At 40.5% G+C, this 22,073-nt stretch overlaps 1 long non-coding RNA gene across 2 annotated transcripts, besides 2 other annotated features; it reads right to left on the bottom strand.

The window, feature by feature from the left end:
• Positions 9,543-10,044: an enhancer, noted in NCBI's record as "H3K4me1 hESC enhancer chr2:5541149-5541650 (GRCh37/hg19 assembly coordinates)". NCBI's record gives its function as "activates a minimal SCP1, AML or CMV promoter by ChIP-STARR-seq in primed H9 embryonic stem cells {active_cell/tissue: H9 hESC(primed)}" and the evidence as "EXISTENCE:reporter gene assay evidence [ECO:0000049][PMID:30033119]".
• Positions 9,786-17,611, bottom strand: LOC105373399 (uncharacterized). Of its 2 annotated transcripts, none has more exons than XR_922740.2 (5): positions 17,401-17,611; positions 16,212-16,310; positions 14,875-14,984; positions 13,086-13,320; positions 9,786-10,443 (listed from the first exon to the last, which is right to left on the bottom strand). It is a non-coding gene; the product is annotated as an uncharacterized LOC105373399 (long non-coding RNA). The 2 variants fall into 2 exon arrangements; XR_922739.3 differs by having other exon boundaries at positions 9,835-10,443; positions 16,212-16,355.
• Positions 18,012-21,419: an enhancer, noted in NCBI's record as "VISTA enhancer hs1496". NCBI's record gives its function as "enhancer in: neural tube[15/16] | hindbrain (rhombencephalon)[15/16] | midbrain (mesencephalon)[13/16] | forebrain[14/16]" and the evidence as "EXISTENCE:transgenic organism evidence [ECO:0001131][PMID:17130149]".

Raw genomic sequence — 22,073 nt, forward strand, 5'->3', positions numbered from 1 at the left:
TTCAACAGCTGGTCTTCTGCTGTTGCTGTCCTGGTGCCAATGAACTGTCAGAAGCAGAGTGAGTGGTAGCCAAGGTCCCTGGATCAGGGAGAAGGAGAGCAGCACGGGCTGCTGGCAGCTGGCCAGCCTCGATACTCACTGGCTCACCAAAGGAAGAGCCCTGCTTGATTTATGAAGGTGTTGCTGTAACCTGATGACCTGAAGACACCAGCAAGCTTCTCCTCCACTTCAACTCCACAGTTACTGTGGAAAAGAACCCCTTAGGAGAACGGTCAGCCTTTTCTATGACATTACAGAGACGTAATGTCTGGGTCTTCCATGAGTATTAATGCATGCTTCACCTTATTGGAAAACAAGAATGAATGAGCTGACTACAGCACTGCAGGCAAGTTTAGGAAAAGCACTGACTGAGAAAGGAAGAGCATCCCCATGTAGATACAGAAAAAGTGAATAATGGTATAGAACTTTCCAAGAAGAAGCCAAAGAGATGACCGTAGCACTACTAAAAATAAAATATTGTACTCAGTAATTTTCACATAGTTCGATATATATGTTTTTCTTAAACTCCATTTCAGAGATACTATGAATTAAATCACAAATGCTCGTAATAGGAAAAAATAACATTTTAAGGAAACCATTCTCCCATGTTTTTCTTAATAGACATACCACTGTGGAAGAATTCAGGCTTCTGAATTTTGGTTAGAAAGACCCATCCTCCTATTGTCCTTGTCCCACTATCCATTGAAAACAGAAGAAAATGACAGTTCGCCTGAGGCTCTAAACTGGACCCTAACCACAATCTTCCTTTTCTCAGTTTATTTATATATTTTTATCTTTTTGCACAAAGAGGAAAAGTTTAAAGAGATAAATGGAGAAGAAATGAGAGAACTGTCAGAACGAGAATGCAGTGTTCATTCCCTTCAGTTAGAGACCGGGGCTGAGCTTCTCTCTGGGCACTATTGTGAGAGTGGCAGGGCCAAGGATCACCAGTGTCTGAACCCAGCCCTCCCCTCACCAGTTCTCTTTGAGCGACACATTAGAAATGAGAATTGTTGAAATGAATTGTCATCCAATGTTGGATGACAGTGCTTGGCTCAGAGCTAGAGTTGCAAATGAGAACTTGGTCATCTCCAACCATGAGTCTAAGGAAGCCATGGACATAGAAGAACTTAGTCCATCTTATCAATGTATTTGCAGTAAAAATCAGACAGAATAGTTCTCACCCAACTTGGTCCTCAGGCAAAATATTCAATTTTCTAGCATGTGTGCATTGAACTGGAACAGAAAGGAGGTCGTGAGGTCTGAGCTGAGTGAATAAGGCAGGAGAGCCTATTGGAGATGATGTCAAAAAGATCAGGGTAGGAGGTGATGAGATCATGCAGAATTTTATAGCTTTTTTCGTGACTGTGAGTCAGAAGCCACTGGAGGAAGAGGAGTGATGCAATCTGAGTCAGGTTTTGAAAGGATCCCTCCAGCTTCCATATTGAGACTTGACATAAGGCAGATAAGGACAGAAGTGTGGAGGCATTTAGAAGGCTATTCCAATAACCCGGGTGAGAAAAAGTGATGGCGTGGAGCACTAGTTCTATTTCCACTCTTTTATAGCTTGTCTACAGCAATTTCAGTGGCTTCCTATGTTTTGCCTTGCATAGTTTTTGCCCCTCTCTCCTTTCTTTTTCTAATAACCACTCTTTTTATCTATTCTTTTGGTTACCCTAGCCAGTCTTGATCCAAGATAGAACTTTTCCTCTTGTACTTCTTATCTATATATTCTCTGTTAATTATACGGCGCATTTGCTTACAAAAACCAGCCTCCATTCATTTCCAGTAAGTATCAATATTTGGCAGACCACATATACATATCATTACTTCCTAGAGATGAGACTTCCTCTAAAAGTTGAAATATATAAATATACAGAAATTCTAATTTGATATAGGGATTTATACATAAAGGTAGAGATATCAACCTTAAATGTTAGTCCTTTTTAATATCAAAAAAACAGTTAAAGTTCTTCTAAGTATGAAAATTGTATTTCTTGTGCTTACATACATTTCCTCCTCCAAGCCACTTAACTTATTCTGGGTCTTTCTTTATTCATTTATTCATTCACTTACTTAATACGCATATTTAGCATGGATTATGTCCCAGACACTATGCTAAATTTAAAAGATCAAAGATGAATAGATTCATCCCATGCCCTCAAGGAGTTTTCAGACAAATGAGGGAGAAGAACACACTTTAAAATTGCAAACCTTTGCAGAAGTGCAGAAATGGAGAAATGCATACGATGTGTTTGAACAGGTGTATTCAGGAGATTCCTCAGATAAAGCAGAAATGGCCTAGAGACAAAGAGGAGGGATTATGTATTATGTATTGTATGTAGCCCAAACTAGCCTATTTATTGAATGTCTTCAAACTTGTGAAAATTGACTTTAAAATTACCAGATTGTGCCTATCACAGTCTTGACAAAATACAGCCAAAATTGTTCGCTGAGGCCTTTAGATGAATTTCTTTCTATACATAGAATTTCTGAACCTCCTGAAGCTGAACATATCCTGGCTAACATTACCAAATAAGCAACATAGGTGGAAACAATGTTTTCCTTTTAATCAAAAAATATTTGCTACCTTTACCTCTTCTCAATATTACTTCTAAACCTTCGCTGTTCCTGCCAAAAGGAAAAAGAATACAAATTCGTTTACATTCCAAACAAGCTCATGACTCACTCTCAAATTGTAAACCTGATTTCTTTCAAGACCCGCCACTTCCATCAGGTAAAGAAACCAAAATCCTTCGTATTGTAACGGAGTGTAAAGTAAAACATGAGAAGGGCATATAGTTAGTCCAGGTTGCAAATGTAACTTGATACTCTGTTCTAATATCCAATAATTCACTGGAGTCCCAAGCTAATGAAATTATAGCTCTATCACTTGAAGTCAGCCACTCACTTAACATTCGAGCCAACAACAACATTCTTGGCAAAGAAAGAGTGAAGACCTTAGCTCCAGTTTCAGAGTTAATAGGACTGCCAATCCGGGAGTATCTCACTTAGTCCACCCTCTCTTTATGAAGAAGATCCAACACAGAAGCATAGGCTTTATTTTCAAAAGACCCCACCTATTGATCACTCATAAGTGAGAGTTGAACAATGAGAACACACGGACACAGGGAGGGGAACATCACACACTGGGGCCTGTTTGAGGGTCGGGGGGTAGGGTAGGGATAGTAGGTGATGGGTTGATGGGTGCAGCAAACCACTATGGCACGTGTATAACTATGTAACAAAACTGCACATTCTGCACATGTACCCCAGAACTTAAAGTATAATAAAAAAAAGACAATATATTTTTATTCTAGCTGCTGACCTCTTGTTTACAGGGTAGCCCAGCTGTCCCCAAACTCCTGAGTTTATGGATCCTGAGTAATGACAACCAACCTGTTTACACCTGACATCCCTGAAAAGAACCTTCACTGGCTCAGTGGTGGTATCTCAGTCCTTCTTCTGTCTCCTGGTTTCTGGCCCTAGAGCTGAAGGTGGCCGCAGTCTCACATGCAGTGTGACTTGATGCCAACTTCTCTGCCATCCCCTAGATCCAGTCATTGGTACTAACCTGTCTTATCTTTTGAGTGGCGTGTTGCACATTTCACCCTAATTAGGCTGCCTGAGTTAACATCCTGTCTATGGCATCCTGGGTGTCATCTCAACCTTCAGTCTTGGCCACCAATCACCAATGCATTCACCCTCCCGATACTCCCTTTCACTGTATTTAGATCAACAGTATTGCAGAGCCTGCGTTTGGATTATGTATAAGATGTCATCAAAGCTGCTTTGGTTGGTGAGGAGCTCCATAATCACCTGCTGTAGAAGCACATGTGCTAGGGTCAAAGGTGGAGGTGGAGGAAGGAGTCTCACCATCACGTTGTTTGCAACCCCATGAAATGGTTTTTCCAGCCAGCCATCTTAAGGCAGGTTCCTGGCTGCAGAGCCTGAGACAGAGATTCTTGTATAAATGACTTATTCAAGAAGTGCTCCCAGGAGAGGAGAGCAGTATTATGTACATAGGCCTCAAACTAGGCTGTTTATAAAATGCATTTAAATTTCTGAAAATTGACTTTGAAATTAACAAATTATATTTATCACAGTCTTGATAAAATCAAGCCAAAATTGTTCATGATGTCTTTAGATGAATTTCTTTCTGTACATAGAATTTCTGAACCTCCTGTAGCAGCAAAGGAACCTAACAAAGATGTAGTCTCTGATGACTTTGGATTCATTTTGACCACAGGGAGCTCTGGAGCATGAAGGAAACCAGGATTTTTCTATTTTTAGGAAGAAAGCCTGGATTTGTGCTCAGGTTTCAATCAGTGATGGTCTCTGGGGCCGGTCATTCTGTAACTTCCCAGGCCTCTCTAGGCTAGGCTGTCAGCAATCTCACCTGCTGAGATGTGGGCACATTTGGTAGAAAGAAATCTGGGTAGAGCCCCAGCAGTTCCTGTTTCACCTGCTGAGATGCGGGCACATTTGGTAGAAAGAAATCTGGGTAGAGCCCCAGCAGTTCCTGTTACACCTGCTTTCTGCTGCCCAAAATCTCTGTGGGTTTTGATTTGGGGTAAATTTACACACAATTGTCACTCCAATGTGCATAAATACATTTAACTTCTACCTTAATGTGACAACTAAGTTAGAGTCATTTTCATTTTTTCTTGGAAGCTTCATTTCATATTTGTGCAATAAATATATTTACGCTTCCCACAGTATATTAGACCTGTGCACTTTTGATTAACTGCCATTTTCAGACTGGTTTCAATCTCTGTCCTGTGGAAGAGCCACAGTCCACAGTTCTTTCATACAGATCAAGGGATATGTGAGCTCTCCTGACTTTGTGTGAGAAGAGTATGAAATCCAGAAAAAGCCAAAGGTGTTTAGAGGTCTCATCCTCATTGCAGATGTAGAAAAGCCTCACTACCAATATGATTTCTATTCCTGCACTAAGTGGCTAGTTACGTGATGAGAACTGGGTGCAGTGCTGGACACTCAGGATCTCCGGTCTGACATCGTGGGGCCATCCTTCTAAACTGACTTAGATCTCTGCTATACTTGATGCACTAATAGAAACCAGTCAGAAGTAGCCAATTGCTTCCAAATAAATGGTCAGTGCTGGTGGAGCTATTCACCAGAATCTACCTCCTCGTCTTCCTGAGCACACAGCTAGATTCCATTTCCAATCCCCTCTCTTAGTCGGGTGAGACTGGGTGGCTGAGTCCTAGGCAACAGAATGGAAGTGCTCAACGTGCCCTTCCAGGCCCAGCTAACAGAAGACACCTGCATGCATTGCTTCATTCTCTATTTCCCCTTCCAGCTGACCAAGACTGCAACACCCTGGATTCCAGACAGGCAGAAGCACCAACCTTGAACTCTTTCGTGAGTGACACATAAACTTCAATTGTGGTTTACTCAGCATCCACCTATCAGTCAGCAGACCAATAGAAGTCAACGAGCACACTAAATGAAGCCATTTTCAGGAAAGTTTGTTCGCAAAGGGACTTACTACATAGGTGTGGGCAGGATGGAGGAGACCCAGGAGGGATGGAGCAGGAACGTAACACTATCAGGGGTCGGAAGGACAGGGGCAGGAGAGCCTACTGGAAACCAAAAAGAGTTGCACGGAGCAGGCTCCTCCAAAGGGGAAGGGATGTTCTGTCAAGATGACAGCCAGCCCACAACGACCTCACAGGGAGAAGTCAGGGAATCACACCTCGTCCACATTCTTCTCTCTGATCTCCTACAGGGGCTCCTGTTGGAGCAAAGGAGGCCACAGGGCATGAGACTGATAGAACCCATGCAGACAGCCTCCTGAGTCCAAGCACAGAGCTGGACAGGGGATCTAGCAGGCAAATGGACTACATCAACAGAACACACTTTGGGATCTATTTGTTATATCAATTTAATCTGTCCTAACTAATACAGTCCCTAAGTAACGGGGTGAGGGAGCCATGTAGCACATTCTGGATGCTGAAAGGTACCAGCTCACAAGAATATTCAATGAGAGGAAGTGAATCATCTCATGGACATTTTTTATTGTTAGAAATTCTGTCTAATACTGTGTCAAATCTAATTTCTTACATCTTCCATCCACTGGGCATCTATCTTCTCTGCGAGGTTACACAGAATAAATTTAAACCCTCTGACACATTAGAGTCCTGCAAATACTTGAAAGCACTTATCATATTCCTGCCTAGCCATCTTTTTTCCCTCTCTCTGTACAAGAGTTCCAGATCCCTCAGTAACATGTCCCCCCATAGTCTCTGAACCCTTCAGTATTTTGCTTGCCTTTCCTCTGTGTGCTCACTACCTGGAGGGTGCCTCTCATCTGCTGAAGTGCCAGGAGCCAAATAAAGAACTCCAGGGTGACGCACCTATTCTACATATAGAGGACATTTACAACTATGTTTTAGTTAAGTGAAGTAAAACCTACTGGAGTTTTCAAAGTCATCATATCATAGAGTGGATCGTATGACTTTCATAACTACCATATTTTCCAGGTCAGAGGTCAACAATCTTTTTCTGTTTCCAGACAGCAATTATGTCAGGCTTTGTGGCCAGATGGTCTCTGAGGCAACTACTCAATTCTGAGTTCTACGAGAAAAGCAGCCAGGACATCATGCAAAGAAATGGGCATGGCCGACTCCCAGTAATAATTTATTTACAAAAACAGGCCCCTGAACAGATTCAACACAGGGCCCAGAGTTTTCTGACACCTGTTCTAGGTCCCTGGTTCTCAATCTTTGCTTCACACTGGAACCCCTGGGGAAGATTTACAAATCTTGATCCCAGGTCACACCTCACAACAACTCAATCATAGGGTCTGGGTAAGGGGGATGACCCCCTGCAGGTTCCTGGTGCAGCTGTTTGAGAGTCTTTGCCATTTGGCACTTCCAGGTTGCTGACTTTTTCCTCTCTAAGCCTGGGATACATAAACACAAAGAAAACCCAGGGGCTGGGCATGGTGGCTAAGGCCTATAATCCCAGCACTTTGGGAGACTGAGGCAGGAGGATTGCTTGAGACTAAGGGTTCAAGACCAGCCTAGGCAACATAGTAAGACCCCATCTCTACTAAAAATCAAAACAATTAGCCAGGTGTGGTGGTGTGCAACTATAGTTCCAGCTACTCAGAGTCTCAGGTGAGAAGATCACTGGAGCCCAGGAGATAGAGGCTTCAGTGAGGGATGATTATGCCACTCATCTCCAGCCTGGGCAATAGAACGAGACTCTCAAAAAGAAAAAGAAAAAAGAAAGAAAACACAAATAAGTCACCCTTGTATTGTTTCCTAGCTGGTCTGCCTTCTTCTCCCCACCTTTCAGAGCCTCTTTGTGTTTGTTTTCTATATAATGTTCAGGGTTTTCATTTCCCTTAGTTGGAGAAGTAGGAGAAATGCTCCATCTTCCTGCACGTGATGTCCCACTAACTCTTTTTCAACTTTAAATGCCATTGGGTTGATTTATTTCCATCTTCCACCTGAGCTCTGCAATGTTTAGGTAAGTGTAAGGCAGCGCGCCCCTTAAATAGGCAAATTACCCTTGGGAGCAGTTCAAAAAACACATTGGATGTGGTTCTTTCCACAGGAGACTAGGGAAAGAATTGAGTAAATTTGCTCAGCTCTTGCCTGGACATTTAGCTTTTCTGTGGAGCATCAGTATTAAAATTCTAAATTTATCCCACCTATGAAGGCTTTCAAGCTTGTCACATGTATGCAGTGGCGTAGAGATTTTTTTGCGATGTATGTTGTTCAGTATCATGTTGTGTAATCTAGGTGGTCTCCGAACATGGTCTCCAGGCCAGCAGCATCGCTGGAAGCTTGTTAGAAATGCAGTGCGTAGGCATCACCCAGACCTGCCGAACCAGAAACCCTGGGACGGGGCCCAGTCAGGTGTGTTTGTTAACAGCCTCCATCAGGGGATTATAATACAAGATCGAGGTTGAGAATCACTGCTCTATTCTAACACTCTAACATGTTAATATAATTTTGATTCATTTTTCTCTCTGGTTCTCAAATTTTTCTGTCCATTACAATCATGTGAGAAGTCTCCCACCAAGCATGGATGCCCAAGTCTCACCTTCTGGGACGCTGTGAGTTAATTGGTCTGGGGTGTGGCCTGGGTATCAGAGAGATTAGAAGTTCTCCAGAATGTATTAAATAATTACATTCCATTCAGAGGGTGCTTAATAAATTGGAGTGTATGCCCTAACCTCTTTATATTCCTCGCTTGAGAAGGAGTATATATTAGCATTCTCCAGATAAACGAAACCAAAACCAAAAAGAAGATATATATATATATTCCCATCATTTATATGTATGTGTATATATGTGTGTATATATACATATATACATATATACATATATACACACATATATACATACATATATACATATATAAACACATATACACATATATACATACATATATACATACATATATACATGCATATATACATATATACACATATATATATATATACATATATATATATAGTGGGAATTGGCTCACACCATTATGGACACTAAGAAGTCCCATGATCTGCTGTCTATACGCTGAAGAACCAGGCAAGCCGGTGGTATATTTAGATTTGAATTCCAAGGCCTGAGAATAGGAGGACAATGTGTGAGGGCAGGAGAAGAAGGATGTCTCAGCTCAAGAAGAAAGCAAATTTGCCCTTCCTCCACCTTTTTTTTCTATTCCTGCCCTCAGTGGATTGGATGACACAGATCCACATTGTTGAGGGCTGTTCTCCTTCACTGGTCTACTGATGTAAATGCTAATCTCTTCCAGAAATATCCTCAGAGACACAGTCAGAAATAATGTTTTTGCCAACTTTCTGGGCATCCCTCAGCCCCATCAAGTTGATGCGTAAACTTCACCATTGCAGAGCACTCCCTGTGTTATGATCAGTTAGTAAGTGAGTGCCTCTGATGGGATTTTGATTGGCCACATCTAGTAGGTCCAGGACTCTGCATTTTTGCGATAATTCTAAGTCATCTGTTGCAGAGACCTCCTTTTGAACAACGCTGACTTGAAATATTTGCCTTAATTCCAAAATATTTAAAACAGAAATGCCTCTAATAGAGAGAAAGTCATTCACTTTATGCTTTTCATAGGAGAAGTTTCTAAAGAATCTAGAGAGGCTGGGACATGGGCTGCTTTGCCACACCCTCTTGGGACGTCCCTTGAAACTTGCTGCCGAAACTGCTGGACTTGTTTTCAGGATCTGTTTACCATGGGACTCCTGGATGCAAGAAGTTTTCTGAAAATAAACCTTTAAGTCAACCTGGACACTTTCTGACTGTTCTCTTGGTAACCTCGGTTGATCCCCTGGGAGTTAGTAATTAGACCGGGGCCCGTCGTGGGGTCGGGGGGAGGGGGCAGAGATAGCATTAGGAGCTATGCCTAATGTAAATGACGAGCTAATGGGTGCAGCACACCAACATGGCACACGTATACATATGTGACAAACCTGTACGTTGTGCACATGTACCCTAGAACTTAAAGTATAATATAAATAAATAAATAATAAAAAAAGAATTAATTTGAACTTGCTTCACGTCAAGACCCACCGTCCTCTGCCAGCACTGTATTTCATTTGCCTTACCCCCACTTTCCCCAAAGCATTTCTCATGGACTACGCCTACAGCAAGATAACACTTTAAAAACATGTCTGTATATCTAAATAAATCCCAGATGAATTAAGGAGGAAAACGTTAAAAATCAAGAAACCAAAACATATAAGCCTTAGAAATAAGTCTTTAATCTTGAGGTCAGGTGGTCTGGCAAAGCTCCAGTATCAATATCTGTATAATCTGCATGTTTTTCTTTGAGACTGTCAGCTCCTCGAGAAGACTCTGCCTGCTCCTGCCAGGAACCAGTGGGGCAGAGAGGCCGGGCTGTGGGCAACCAGGGAAGGTCCCCTGTAGTCTGGGCAGGCGCCAGGCTGGGAGGCAGCACCTTGGAGCCCACCTGAGAGTGGAGCGCAGGCTTCTGCCTGTGGGGAGGACCAGTGGTCCAGACACCCAGAGACTGGAGACACCTGAAGATCTCGCTGTGTCCTAAACACACTGTTGCCCAGTCTGCTTTCTTTCTGCACCACATTCACTTCCAATTCGAGAGTGCCTGGTGCTGCCAGCTCGCAGGGCTGCAGGGATCCCACGGGGTAAGGAGATGCTCTTATGGGGTCCTCACTGCTGACTCGGGACTCCACGTTCCAGGCCGGGCGTCTTCCCGCATCTGTGTGCTTGCAGCTACTGAGGACTGTCACAGCCTGGGTCCCTCCTGGGGTCAACACTGTTGATGGGCCTTGGACATTAACAAGTCCGTTTCCATGCAGTGTTCATGGGGCTTGAAGAGGGAGCCAAAAGGAGGTGCATGCATTCCAGCCATCACTTGTACCTGGGGAAGATGATGATCTATTTTCTTATTAAATGCATTAAAATAGCATGTAATACAGCTGCTCTGTGAAACTCATCAAGAGAAAGCATTTAAAAAGGAAAAGAAAAGAAAAAAGAAAGAAAAGAAAAGAAAAGAAAAAAAGACAAGAAAAGAAAAGAAAAAAGAAAATACAAACTTCTAAGTAACCTTCAAGAAATGTGGCTACCAAAGAGAACCCACACTCAATAACCATCCAGCTCCATGCAGGGACTTGGCCAGCACTGCCAATGGGCTCACAGGGACACAGGGAAAGTCAGGGCGCATCCGCTGGCCAGGTGCCTGCGTCCCACGGAAAGACTCACCTGAACCAGAGAATAAGTGGTCTCCTCTTTCCCCTGTCCCCAGCACCCCGCAAAAAAAAAAAAAAAAAAAAAAAAAAAAAAAGCAAAAATAAAATCCTCTTGGGAAGAAAACTTCAGATTCCCTCAGTCATAACCTAGTAATTTAATACCTATCTTGGGAGAAAAGCATCCCTCTTGGCTTAAATAAAAGTATCCATGCATACACACAAGTCTAGTTTTGCCCATTTTTTCTTCTTCAGTGGGTCCAGTTTCCCCTCTCACTGCCTGTTTGTTAAAGCCTATTATTAGATCTCTCTACATCTTTTCTCTGATAAGTAAAAAGGATGTAATCCTTAGCACTTAGCTCCTATTTTCAAGTTTTGCTTCATCTCAATTTTTCCTTTCTTATCTTCCCCCGAGTTCTCTGGAGCACTTTTGAAGTTGATAATGCCTTAACTACGCTAAGATCCTTGGAATCATCTGACCGACACCGACTACTGATTATTCACCTCACCTGGACACTTATAGTTATTTTTGCTTCTTACATATTGTTCCTCTACTATATTGCTAGTGTTCCTCTTCTAGCTCTCTATGACCTTTAGACCTTCTGCACCACTTCAGCTTATGGCTGGCTTATGCCCTTTGTTTTTCTACTCTAATTGCCTTATAGCAATATCAATGGTCTTAGCTTTCTTCTCAAAGTGATATTGATTATGGCAACACTTGGATTGGTGGGAATCAAAAGTAAGTAAATATACTATGATGCAAAGTATTTTTATTGAAAATTGTATTTGTATACTTATTTTCTAGTTATTTTAGAATATATTTTATTTTTATTTAAAATATTTTGTTTAATTAGTTCATAATAAGATTGAAATTGCATTGGTTTAGCATCACCAAATCAACATTTGGTGTGGATATGTATTAGTGGGGGGACAATTCATTTCATTCTTTCTCTCTCTCTCTCTCTGTCATTGTCTTTCTTATTAAACTCAGGTTGGCATTCTACAGTGAGCTACTTGCAGAATACTGGGCTCTTAACACACCAAGATGTGCCACCTTAATGATAACCTGGCATTGCTTTATTGTAAGAAGAAAAATTACTATTGTTCTGTAAAGAAATCAGTGTGCACTCTGCTTAACAAACATGCTGCTACCTTCAAATTGCGCAGCTGTGGCATCCTGTTTGTTCTCTCTTCTTGTGAACCATAGCTCAGAGCATTTCTGTTCTGGGTCTTAGATGAGAGAAAAAAATAAAATGAACACACCCAGCACTATGACTTCAGAGAGTACCAAGGGGAGTGCGAGTCAGGCCAGGTTGGAGAACAGCTGAGCATGGTGACATCGGAATTTTATGTCACTGCTGCTTAGACATCAACCCTGAAACACGTGACTTAACAGCATGAACCACGCAGCAGCATGGTCACCGCTGAAGAGTCTTAAAAGATTGAGGGTTGTTTCTACTTCATTGAAGAAATGTTGAAAGGCAGAGGCTGTTTTTGTGTAACCCTAATAAGAATGTTAGAACTAATTTAGGCACTGATAAGTAATAGTTTAAATTCAGATAATGAAGCTCTTATATAGTACTTATTGATATAGTTAATTCAACTTTGTTTTATCTAGAATCTTGACTTATAATAGTAATACAAATTAATGACAATATGTAATCATGTTAATGAATAGGTTGACCATAATATTGATTATTCAACTTTACACCTTTGGTAGTGAATGAAAATGCTCTTAATAGTTACGTGAGGTCAGTAGGAAGAAACCAGGACCATCGCAGGAAAACAGCAACATTTGGCCACCCTTTTTGTGAAGAATTGTATTGTTAAAGAAAGCACAATTGACTGACTTGTGTTCTAAATGCCCCAGGACTGACTTGGCCACAGCAAAGGGAAACCAAATAAGCTTTCCTTTACTGTATCAGCCCATTTTCGTACTGCTATGAAGAAATACCTAAGACTGGGTAATTTACAAAGAAAAACAGGTTTAATGGACTCAGAGTTTCACATAACTGGGGAGGCCTCACAGTCTCACATAACTGGGGAGGCCTCACAGTCATGGTGGAAGGCATAGGAGCAAAGGCACCTCTTACACGGCAGCAGGCAAGAGAGTGTGTGCAGGGGAATTGGCCTTTATAAAACCATCAGATCTCATGAGACTTATTCATTATCATGAGAACAACACAGAAAAAAACCCACGCCCATTATTCAATAACCTCTCACTGGGTCCTTCCCATGACACATGGGGCTTTGGTAGCTACAATTCAAGATGAGATTTGGGTGGGGACACAGCCGAACTATATCGCTTACTTCATACCTAATATCTGTTCCTCCACTCCTGTGGTGTCGTGGAGTGAGAGGGATGCTGAGCCAAGGGGCTGCTCTGCAGTCAGGAGGGCACAGACCTGGAGGGCGGGAGGTCACTTTGCAGATGACTCAGGCTCCCATCAGGGTCTCGTGAGAAGGTGTGGCTCACAAAGTCTGAGCAAATTCCCTTACATTAGCTGGGTCTCCTCTGTAGTTGCTGGACGGTGTTCTGAGCAAATCCAATTCTACCAAGCAAAGAGCAAGTTAACGTCACGGATGAAAATTAAACAAGAATTTTTCAATTTGACAATAAGTTAATTTTGAACCTGAATGAACTACTTTTCTTCATATATATATATATATATATATATATATATATATATAAAAAACATAGAATCATGTCTATATATTATATATAGACTATATCTATATAATATATATTATATAGACTATATCTATATAATATATATTATATAGACTATATCTGTATTATATATACTATATAGTATATATAATATATAAATATTATATATATAATATAATATATAATACATATATACATATATACATGCATAATATATATAATATACACATGTATGTAATATATAATATATATAATATTTATATATATAATATATATGTGGGGTATCAATGGTAAGTATATGAACATACTGATGGGTGCATTTCCTAAACATCTGTTATAATTTATTTTGTTCCCAAAATTTCCTAGAGATTGTCTATGATTATTCAGAGTGTAACTCCACACCCTTTTTTTCTGAACAGATTTTCAGGAAATCAGGCAACATCACATGGATAGTTCACCATTATCTTATGTTCTATGTTCTTCAGTGCTGAATTTCTTTAGCTCAAGAAGTCTTTCACACAGGGGGTATGATTTCCTCATGTTACAGATAAGGCGACAGAAATGCTAAGAGCGTTGTTCAAGATTTCATAGAATTTGGTGGTGTTGCACTCATTTTCCCGCTTTCTTCTAGACCAGTGGTTTTTCACATTCTCTTCCTGAATAGAAGGGATTCTCCATACCCTGCCAGGAACTATGGGAATTCTGTGAGAGGAAGGACTGACCTGGGGGAGGAGCAGGCCACAATGCCACTTCAGCCCACATTTCCTGAAATCTGCACTAGAGACCAGATTTCTTAGAATTTTACTTGAAAATTGCTCTGCTGCTTAAAAGATATTTAAAAACAGGTGCCTTAAGCCATGTTGTTCCCACATTTTATGCACAAACACACAGACATAGGTGCATATGCATACACACAGGCTGTGCAGGAAGGAGGGCGGGAGGACGTGGCTGGAAGAACCCAGGAGCAATGCTTCTCCCACGTTCTGCATCTTCCTGGGGAACCTCATCTATTCATCGCATCCTGATGCCTCTGCTCCCCTGGCCTCCATCTGGCTCTTCCAGGGTACAATTGTACCCTGTGGCTGAAGAAATACATTCTCATGAAATAAGGAAGCAGGAGGAATAGGGCAAGTTTCCCCTCTTCTTGGCTGTAGTTCACACCTCACCACCTAAATATAGGCCCGTGCTCTCAGGTGAGTCGGGTGGAGGTATTCCCAGAACACATGTTAAATTTCCCCTTAGCAACTGCAAAAGCTTGAGAGCAGGTTAGGTCAGGAGAGATCCCAGGGTCAGAGTAGGCTGCGGTAAAGCAGAAAAAGAGAGGAGGAAATGTTTGAAGGCCGGGTTGACCTGACTTTGACCAAGTGAAGCTGTGGGCCAACTCAGCTCTCAGCCCTGTCATCTACCCCTCTCAGTCCTGGCCTGGCTTCCTGACCTGTAAGAGTCTGCATCTCGGTGAGGGTGTTGACTTCTCCTCAATGAGGCCGCATTGCTTCAGGAGCAGGTTCATTCGTTTTCAAAGCTGACACTCATACCCGAGGGATTCTGAAGGAGGGAGAAGCCTGTTTGAATTCGGATGGTTGGGTTGACCTTCCTTTTCAGGAAGGGAGCCACAGCCTCAGCAGGCTAAAGGCAGCCAAGACACAGGTCAACGGTGTTCACTCTGGTTTTTCACAGCAAAGTAGTACACTACTCTCCTAGAACACACACTTCTGAAACTGTGCTGCTTCACTTATGACAGCAAGAGGACCCAACCATCCTGGTACATGGGCACCAATAGACAGAGCCACACAGAGGGCCGGAGGGGAAGGAAAGGGTGCTGGCGCAGCTTAAGCTCTGAGGTTGCCGCCTTACGTTTCTTCCGCGGCCAACAGCCATGCAATAAGAGCCATGATGCACCAGCACATTTGGTGAAGCCGAGCTGGAAATCGCCGGCTGCTGTTTGCCTCTCCTGTGGAAGTCTCTCTGGAGTGGAAGCTTGGGGAGTGGGGCACGGACACTGGCGGCTCTGAGGGCGTTTTTGTTTCCCAGTTTCACCGCCATAGAGCCAGATACCAGCAGGACGCGGGAAGGCCAGTTTCACTTTTTTTTTTTTTTTTTTTTTTGAGACGGAGTCTCGCTCTGTCGCCCAGGCTGGAGTGCGGTGGCGCGATCTCGGCTCACTGCAAGCTCCGCCTCCCGGTTTCACGCCATTCTCCTGCCTCAGCCTCCCGAGTAGCTGGGACTACAGGCGCCCGCCACCACGCCCGGCTAATTTTGTGTATTTTTAGTAGAGACGGGGTTTCGCCGTGTTAGCCAGGATGGTCTCGATCTCCTGACCTCGTGATCCACCCGCCTCGGCCTCCCAAAGTGCTGGGATTACAGGCGTGAGCCACCGCGCCCAGCCCATTTCTCAATATCCAGTCTAAATTCCAAGAGCCCTAAGGACAGGAAAACACATTTTCATATATTCTCCTTTAAGAATTCTTCTCACCATGCCATTCCCAACCCGTATGCAATTTTAATACATGTTTAATAAATATAATTACATAAAATGAAAATTTAGCTTTACACATCCTCGGGTTCTAGTAACTTATTTAACAAGAGGGATGGTAATAGTGGTTCCATGTGTGGGAGACAGTGAAATCACACACAAAAAATAGAAATTATACAAGCATGATAAAAAAAAAACATTTTTTATCTGTAGGTCTGTTTTCATGAACATTTTCAAATGATAACCCACTAAGAAAAATTTTAGATAAACTAAAAAGAATGCTGTGAGATAATTCTTACCTTGCTAGGATCGGTTGAGGATGTAACCAAATAAGGCAGGAGTTCAGTGAAGAGACTCCTTTGACCCTAAGGGATGGTCCAACTTCCATGGTTCAACCTCTGCAATTGACAATATGCTTTCGATTTTAAACATTGGAGTAATACCTAAGTTCCAGTCAATAAATTTTGGCTTTAGAAATGTATCCTTTGAATTTGCTTCTATATTTATTGCATGTTTAATTAGTTAATATCTAGATATTTAATATATGTTGAAAACTGGAAAACTTGCAAAGAAAGTTTAAAAATAAGAAATTTTCATCAAATGTGAATAATTTTCATGTTTAGAAAAAAATTTTCTGTTGGCTAAGATAACACCTACATAATTACTTTTAAAGAAAATAAACAAAATGACTTAATTGTGACCATTTTAAATATATCTGTCCAGAGCATATTTATATATGAGTAGTTTTGAAGAATTAATTGAAAAATACATTATCTCTTATTTTATTTTTGTTCAAAAATTTAAAATATGTAATTAGAGTCAAAAATACCATTTGGATATAGGCTCTCAGTATGGCCATTTATAACACTTTTATAGGAAGAATAAAACCATCCATTAAGTGATGCTACACAGGAAAATTGAGAATTGGAGTAAAATATTTTTGGTGATTCTATATTTAAAATGTTGCTTATGCATGGACACAAAGATGCAGAATTCAAATAAATGTTGTCTTTTTATATTTGACATAAACTACTTCCTCCACCCAAACATAAGACATATTCATATAAGACAGATGCTTAGAAATATATTTAGGTGGTTGCAGATTTTATCCCTACATTTTTCATTTAGTTATTTAATTTTATGGCAAATATTACAGTTTATTTTTAATATAATATTATTGTTTTAATGACAGTTTTACATGCTTAAAATCTAGATTAAGTCTTTATGTCTATGTATACATAGATAGCTCAGAAAAGCACTCAGAAATAACAAAAACTTTTCCATTAATTCTTAAAATTTTCAATGCATACAATTCCCTAGGTGTCAAGAATAGCTCCCAAGAAGCTTTTAAATGTGTAATATTGACCTGATTTCAAGACATATAAAAAGCCACCTTCTTACTGGCCACAGGTATGGATAGCATGGCTACAGAGCTTTTCCTGTCTCCTAGACCTTACCAGAATATCCCACAGGCTGCTAGGCATTTACCTAAGAGAGTGCGATGGCTTTTTCAGAGCAGTTATAATCTACTGGGTCAAAGCATGTTCCGTTGTTACAACATTTTCACTTATTCTGCAGTCAGAGAGGTCTAGCCGATCAGGCCAGAGGCACGAATCCTCATGAAATATTTAAGAAAGGCCTTCCTCCATGCACACACGAATAAGCCTCCCAAATCACGTGGCTGAGGCAGTTTTAAATTCTGACTTTGGGAAGGAAATAAAAAATAATTTAAAAAATCACAAAATTAAGCAAATAGAAAATTTCACATGAAAGCAATCAGCAGGTAGAATGCCACCGGTGGCATTTTGAAGGTCCTGTAAAGCGTGGGGTTATGGAGTGATTAATGACCACAACGTCATCAACAACCCTGGGATGCGGTGGGGGAGAGAGGAAGGGGGCAGGTGTACTGCAAGCTTAATCATGTATCTTCATTCCTTGGTTAAGAAACACTCCTGTGGAACCTGAGAGCTCCATGAGGACCTTGATGTTCTGTTCACAAGCAGCTGCCTTTCTAAAGCATTGCATTAATTCAATAATTTCTGACAGACAGAAAGATTATTTAATAAGTCTATCTGTGTGAAAACTATTTCCAATCGGGAAGTACCCACGGCTGTTTCTCCACTGGTTTATCCTCAGCACGTTCAGGAAAAAGAGTAACCACGTGAAGTCAGGGCTTTCATCTCTGTTGAGATGCTGACCTGACATCCAACCTGCTCCTTTTGACCTTAAGTTGCTGCTATTTTGTCTCTGTAACAGGCAAAGAGATAACAAAGATACCTATTACCTATGGGGGAAGAGGAAGCTTCAACTATATCCAAGGATAGGCTCTGCATATGATTTCTGGCCTTTGAAAAAGCAGCAAACTAGATTTTTCCAAGGCAAAGATTACCACTCTAACATTGTCTGTCTGTCTTCATATAAAATGGCAATGGGAGATATTCTAGCACCAGGCTCTGGGCCTTCCAAAGCTTGCACTCCTGTCTGCCCTCCCCCACCCATCTCGTCTACCCTCACTCTGCCTTCCTTCTAGCCCAGCGTCTTAAGATAAAAGGAGGATGCCATGCAGTGTAAATGCAGTCAGTTGTCAACGTATCCGTGCACATTCTCAGTCTCTGTTCAATGTTCCATGACAACAAGGTGAGACGGCAGAGGTTATCCGAACAGCTGCCGCCTAAGCTGGAAATTCCAGGCATTGAGCACCATCTGTCTATACATTCACAAATGTATATAAGGGCCATCTATCAGGCTGGAGCACTGCAGCTGCCTCCCCGGCAGGCCTGCTTCCTTTCTCGGCGCTGAACAATAAGAGCTAGTTCTTCACTTTGTGTCACACAGAATGGCTGATTTGATTAAGTCCCCAACTCTCATTATGCTAGGTAGGAGTGTAGAATTTCAATGATAATCCATAATGCATGACCAGTTTGTCACCATGGCAACATAAATTCAAGGTTACTAGCTCAGACGCATAATTGGGTGTGCATTGAGTGCTGAGGAAGGCTGTTAAAATTCTTGTCATAGAAAAGTAGCATCCATCATACTGTCTGAAATTGCAAAGTACTCATAATCAGACAGAAAAATCCTTGGAGAAAAATGTTAATAAAATAACTATTACAGTCTAATAAAATTATTAAGTTTAACCACTTTAGTTTTTAAAGTATTTCAGTTAATAAGAATGAAATAGACACCTCATTAAACATTGGAGACTTGGATTTAACCTCCCCCATCGATATCTGCATTGAAATATGGACCTAAAGAATTTTTGGTCTGTTTGATTGATTGATCAAAACAAGCCCATATAATAAAATATATCGTTGTGCATTTTTGTTTCATTTTTGTATTTCAGATTGGATTTTTCTTAGCTGTAAGACTATTTCCTTAATAAAATGATCTGGGGAAAAACTAAATCTACTTCTTTGCTTTTAAAAGCTCAAAATTAAATTATGCATGTTATTTGCTGTACCTCCCAAAGTAGAGAGATGGAAACTAAGGTGGTGATGAAAAGATGCAACAGTAAAGAGTCGAAAGGAGATAGGAATATTTTGAATTATCAGCCCATCCAACTATGACTGGGACAAATATTTTGGTATTCATAAATAGGTGTAATGGAAATTGTATTCAGATGTATATGACTATTAAAAATCCAATACAAAAACAAATGTGTACCCTCCAAAAGGATTTAATCTTGGACCAAAATAATTATGGTAATTACTTGTTTTGGTATCTGCCTTTGCCAATGAAGTAGAACCAGGCAGAGAGTTATAAATGAGCTCTTGGCAAATGGCTTAGAATTCAGCTCCGAGTGTTATTGGAGGAGCATATCATGGCTCATGGTGGATTTTCCCCCATTTCCTTTGATTGAGTAAAACCAATGTTTCTCTGGATTTTAAGTATAAAATGCTTTGCTCTGGAGTATTATTTATTATAATTTTTCACCAAACATGACAAAATTTAGCTGTATTTCCTTTAGCTACAGGACACAGGAGTGCGTATGTTTTTAAGAGACAAGTCTGCCTTTGTTACTGAGATTCAGCTTTCATTTAATTCTGTTGGAGAAAATTAAGACTCATTGACTTAAAAGATAAGAGAATTCCTGCCAAATAAAGGCAGACTTGGCCACATGACCATGGAAATAATTTTGTGCTTTTGCATAGACCTTGTAGGAAGTGAGATTTAATTGCTTCTTCATTCTTTTCACACTTAGCCCTCTCATCCTGTCTCAACCCTGCTTTCCTCTCCAGCTACGATGCAAGATATACACAAAAGCGGTTATTTCTCATGTATCACATCTACTGTCATTACAAAATAATGAAAACAGCGGGTAAAGGTACAAATAAAATTAATTGTAGGCAGCTGACAACACTTTGTATACATTTTTACCTTATAAAATTTCTAATATTGTCCTCAGTTTTCTACAAAGCCAAATAGGATTAAATGATTTTTTACAGTGAATAACACAGATTTAGTCCTTAAGTTTAAGATCACACCTCCAGGATCTGTGCAGTTTTTAAAGTGGAACAGAAGAGAAAATCAAGAACCAAAATCAGATGACCTAATTCAGAATATAGATGTAATTTAATATTTTTTAATGTTGTGTTTAATCATACTAATGGCTGTGTCCTTTAGATTTTTTTTTAATTGAAGATATCTTGTGTGGTACAATTTTATTTGAAATATGAAAGGGCTCAGTCTGAAAGAACTTGCTTACAAAAGTCACATCTGGAAGTATATTCAGATCCAAGCGCACACATGTAACTCCAATTAACATTACACATGCTAAGGAAAATATACCCAGGCGGGCGGCAGAGGGGGAGGGGTAGAGGAACCAAAGAAAGGGGTTTGTGTCTCTGATTTAAATACAAGTGACTTTGTGGAGAACACCAGCTTGTGGTCAAATGAACTCCTATTGTGGAAGTGCACTGGCTCTCAAGACAGAATAACATTTCTGATTTGAGTTTAGTGAAGTACAGCCGTGATCAGGCACAAATGCTGAGCTGCTATACCTAGACTAAAATGAAATCGCTACAAGCTGTTTAGGGGATGAGTATGATTCCGTTTGGGAAATCTTAAAGGTAATTTAAAATTTTATTATTTGAGGAGTTTGGCTTTAGTAGACTTAAATATACGTATTTGTATTGATCACTACTGTTATGTACCAATTCAAAACTTACTGTTGGATATTTTTAATCATTCTTTATGCTATGTACACACATAAGAACCAAAAAACTGCGGTTAAGCCACAAGCATACAGATCAATACCACGAGTTTCAGGATAACCAATACTGCAGTGTTTTCCAGTATTCTTGAAAAAGAAAATGAAGGACAATCTGTAACATTTTCTCTTTATCAAATCCAAAATAATGAAGATATTACAATATGAGTAATATGTAAAATTGTAGACTTATGTCCACTGTGTCTCATTAATTTTTACATGAAACCTACACTTGTCATTTGAAAATATACTGTAGATAATTTTCATTTTTAACAAGCTACGATTTGATATTAGTCAATTATTTTAAGATTGAAATAATTATGAAATAAGCACCTGATAAATATCTACGAAAAATTATGTATCATACCTCCAAATAAATTGTGCAACAGTGAGATAGAACTTATGTGTTGAAATTGGGAAGGGATTCTAATTATCTCAGTGTTGGTTATGTAAAAGATATATATCAGCTGAAAAGAGTAAGCAAAGGAATTATTGTTTCTGCAATCAGCTTTATTTACACTTGAGTCAGGCCTTTATTTTCCTCATTACTTTCCCTCTGCATGATAATTTTTGTTTCTTAAGCACTTCATATTCTGATGCCTTTCTCTGCATTGGCTGTGCTGGGGATCACAACACCATACCCCACAATATGGCACTTCATCATTTTGAATATTTTAAGCTGAACGACATTGAGAAAACCTCAGAAGCAGGAAGGTCACTCTCTGATCTTCTCCCTCACTCCTCCCCTGAAGAAGTTCATGTGACAGGTGTCCTGCCCTGTACCCTCTATACCTGGAGAGAAACTGTCACAGAGAGGCCAAGAAAAATCTGAACAACCAGGCTTTGCCAGGTTCACTCCAGGTGATTACTATTGGATCACACCTTATTGTCCTAGATCTTACCTCTGCATGCCTCTCCATAGAAATGCACAGTTTTCTCCGATGCTTTTTGA

Source organism: Homo sapiens, chromosome 2 (assembly GCF_000001405.40).
Source record: "Homo sapiens chromosome 2, GRCh38.p14 Primary Assembly".
Classification (NCBI taxonomy): Eukaryota; Metazoa; Chordata; class Mammalia; order Primates; family Hominidae; genus Homo; species Homo sapiens.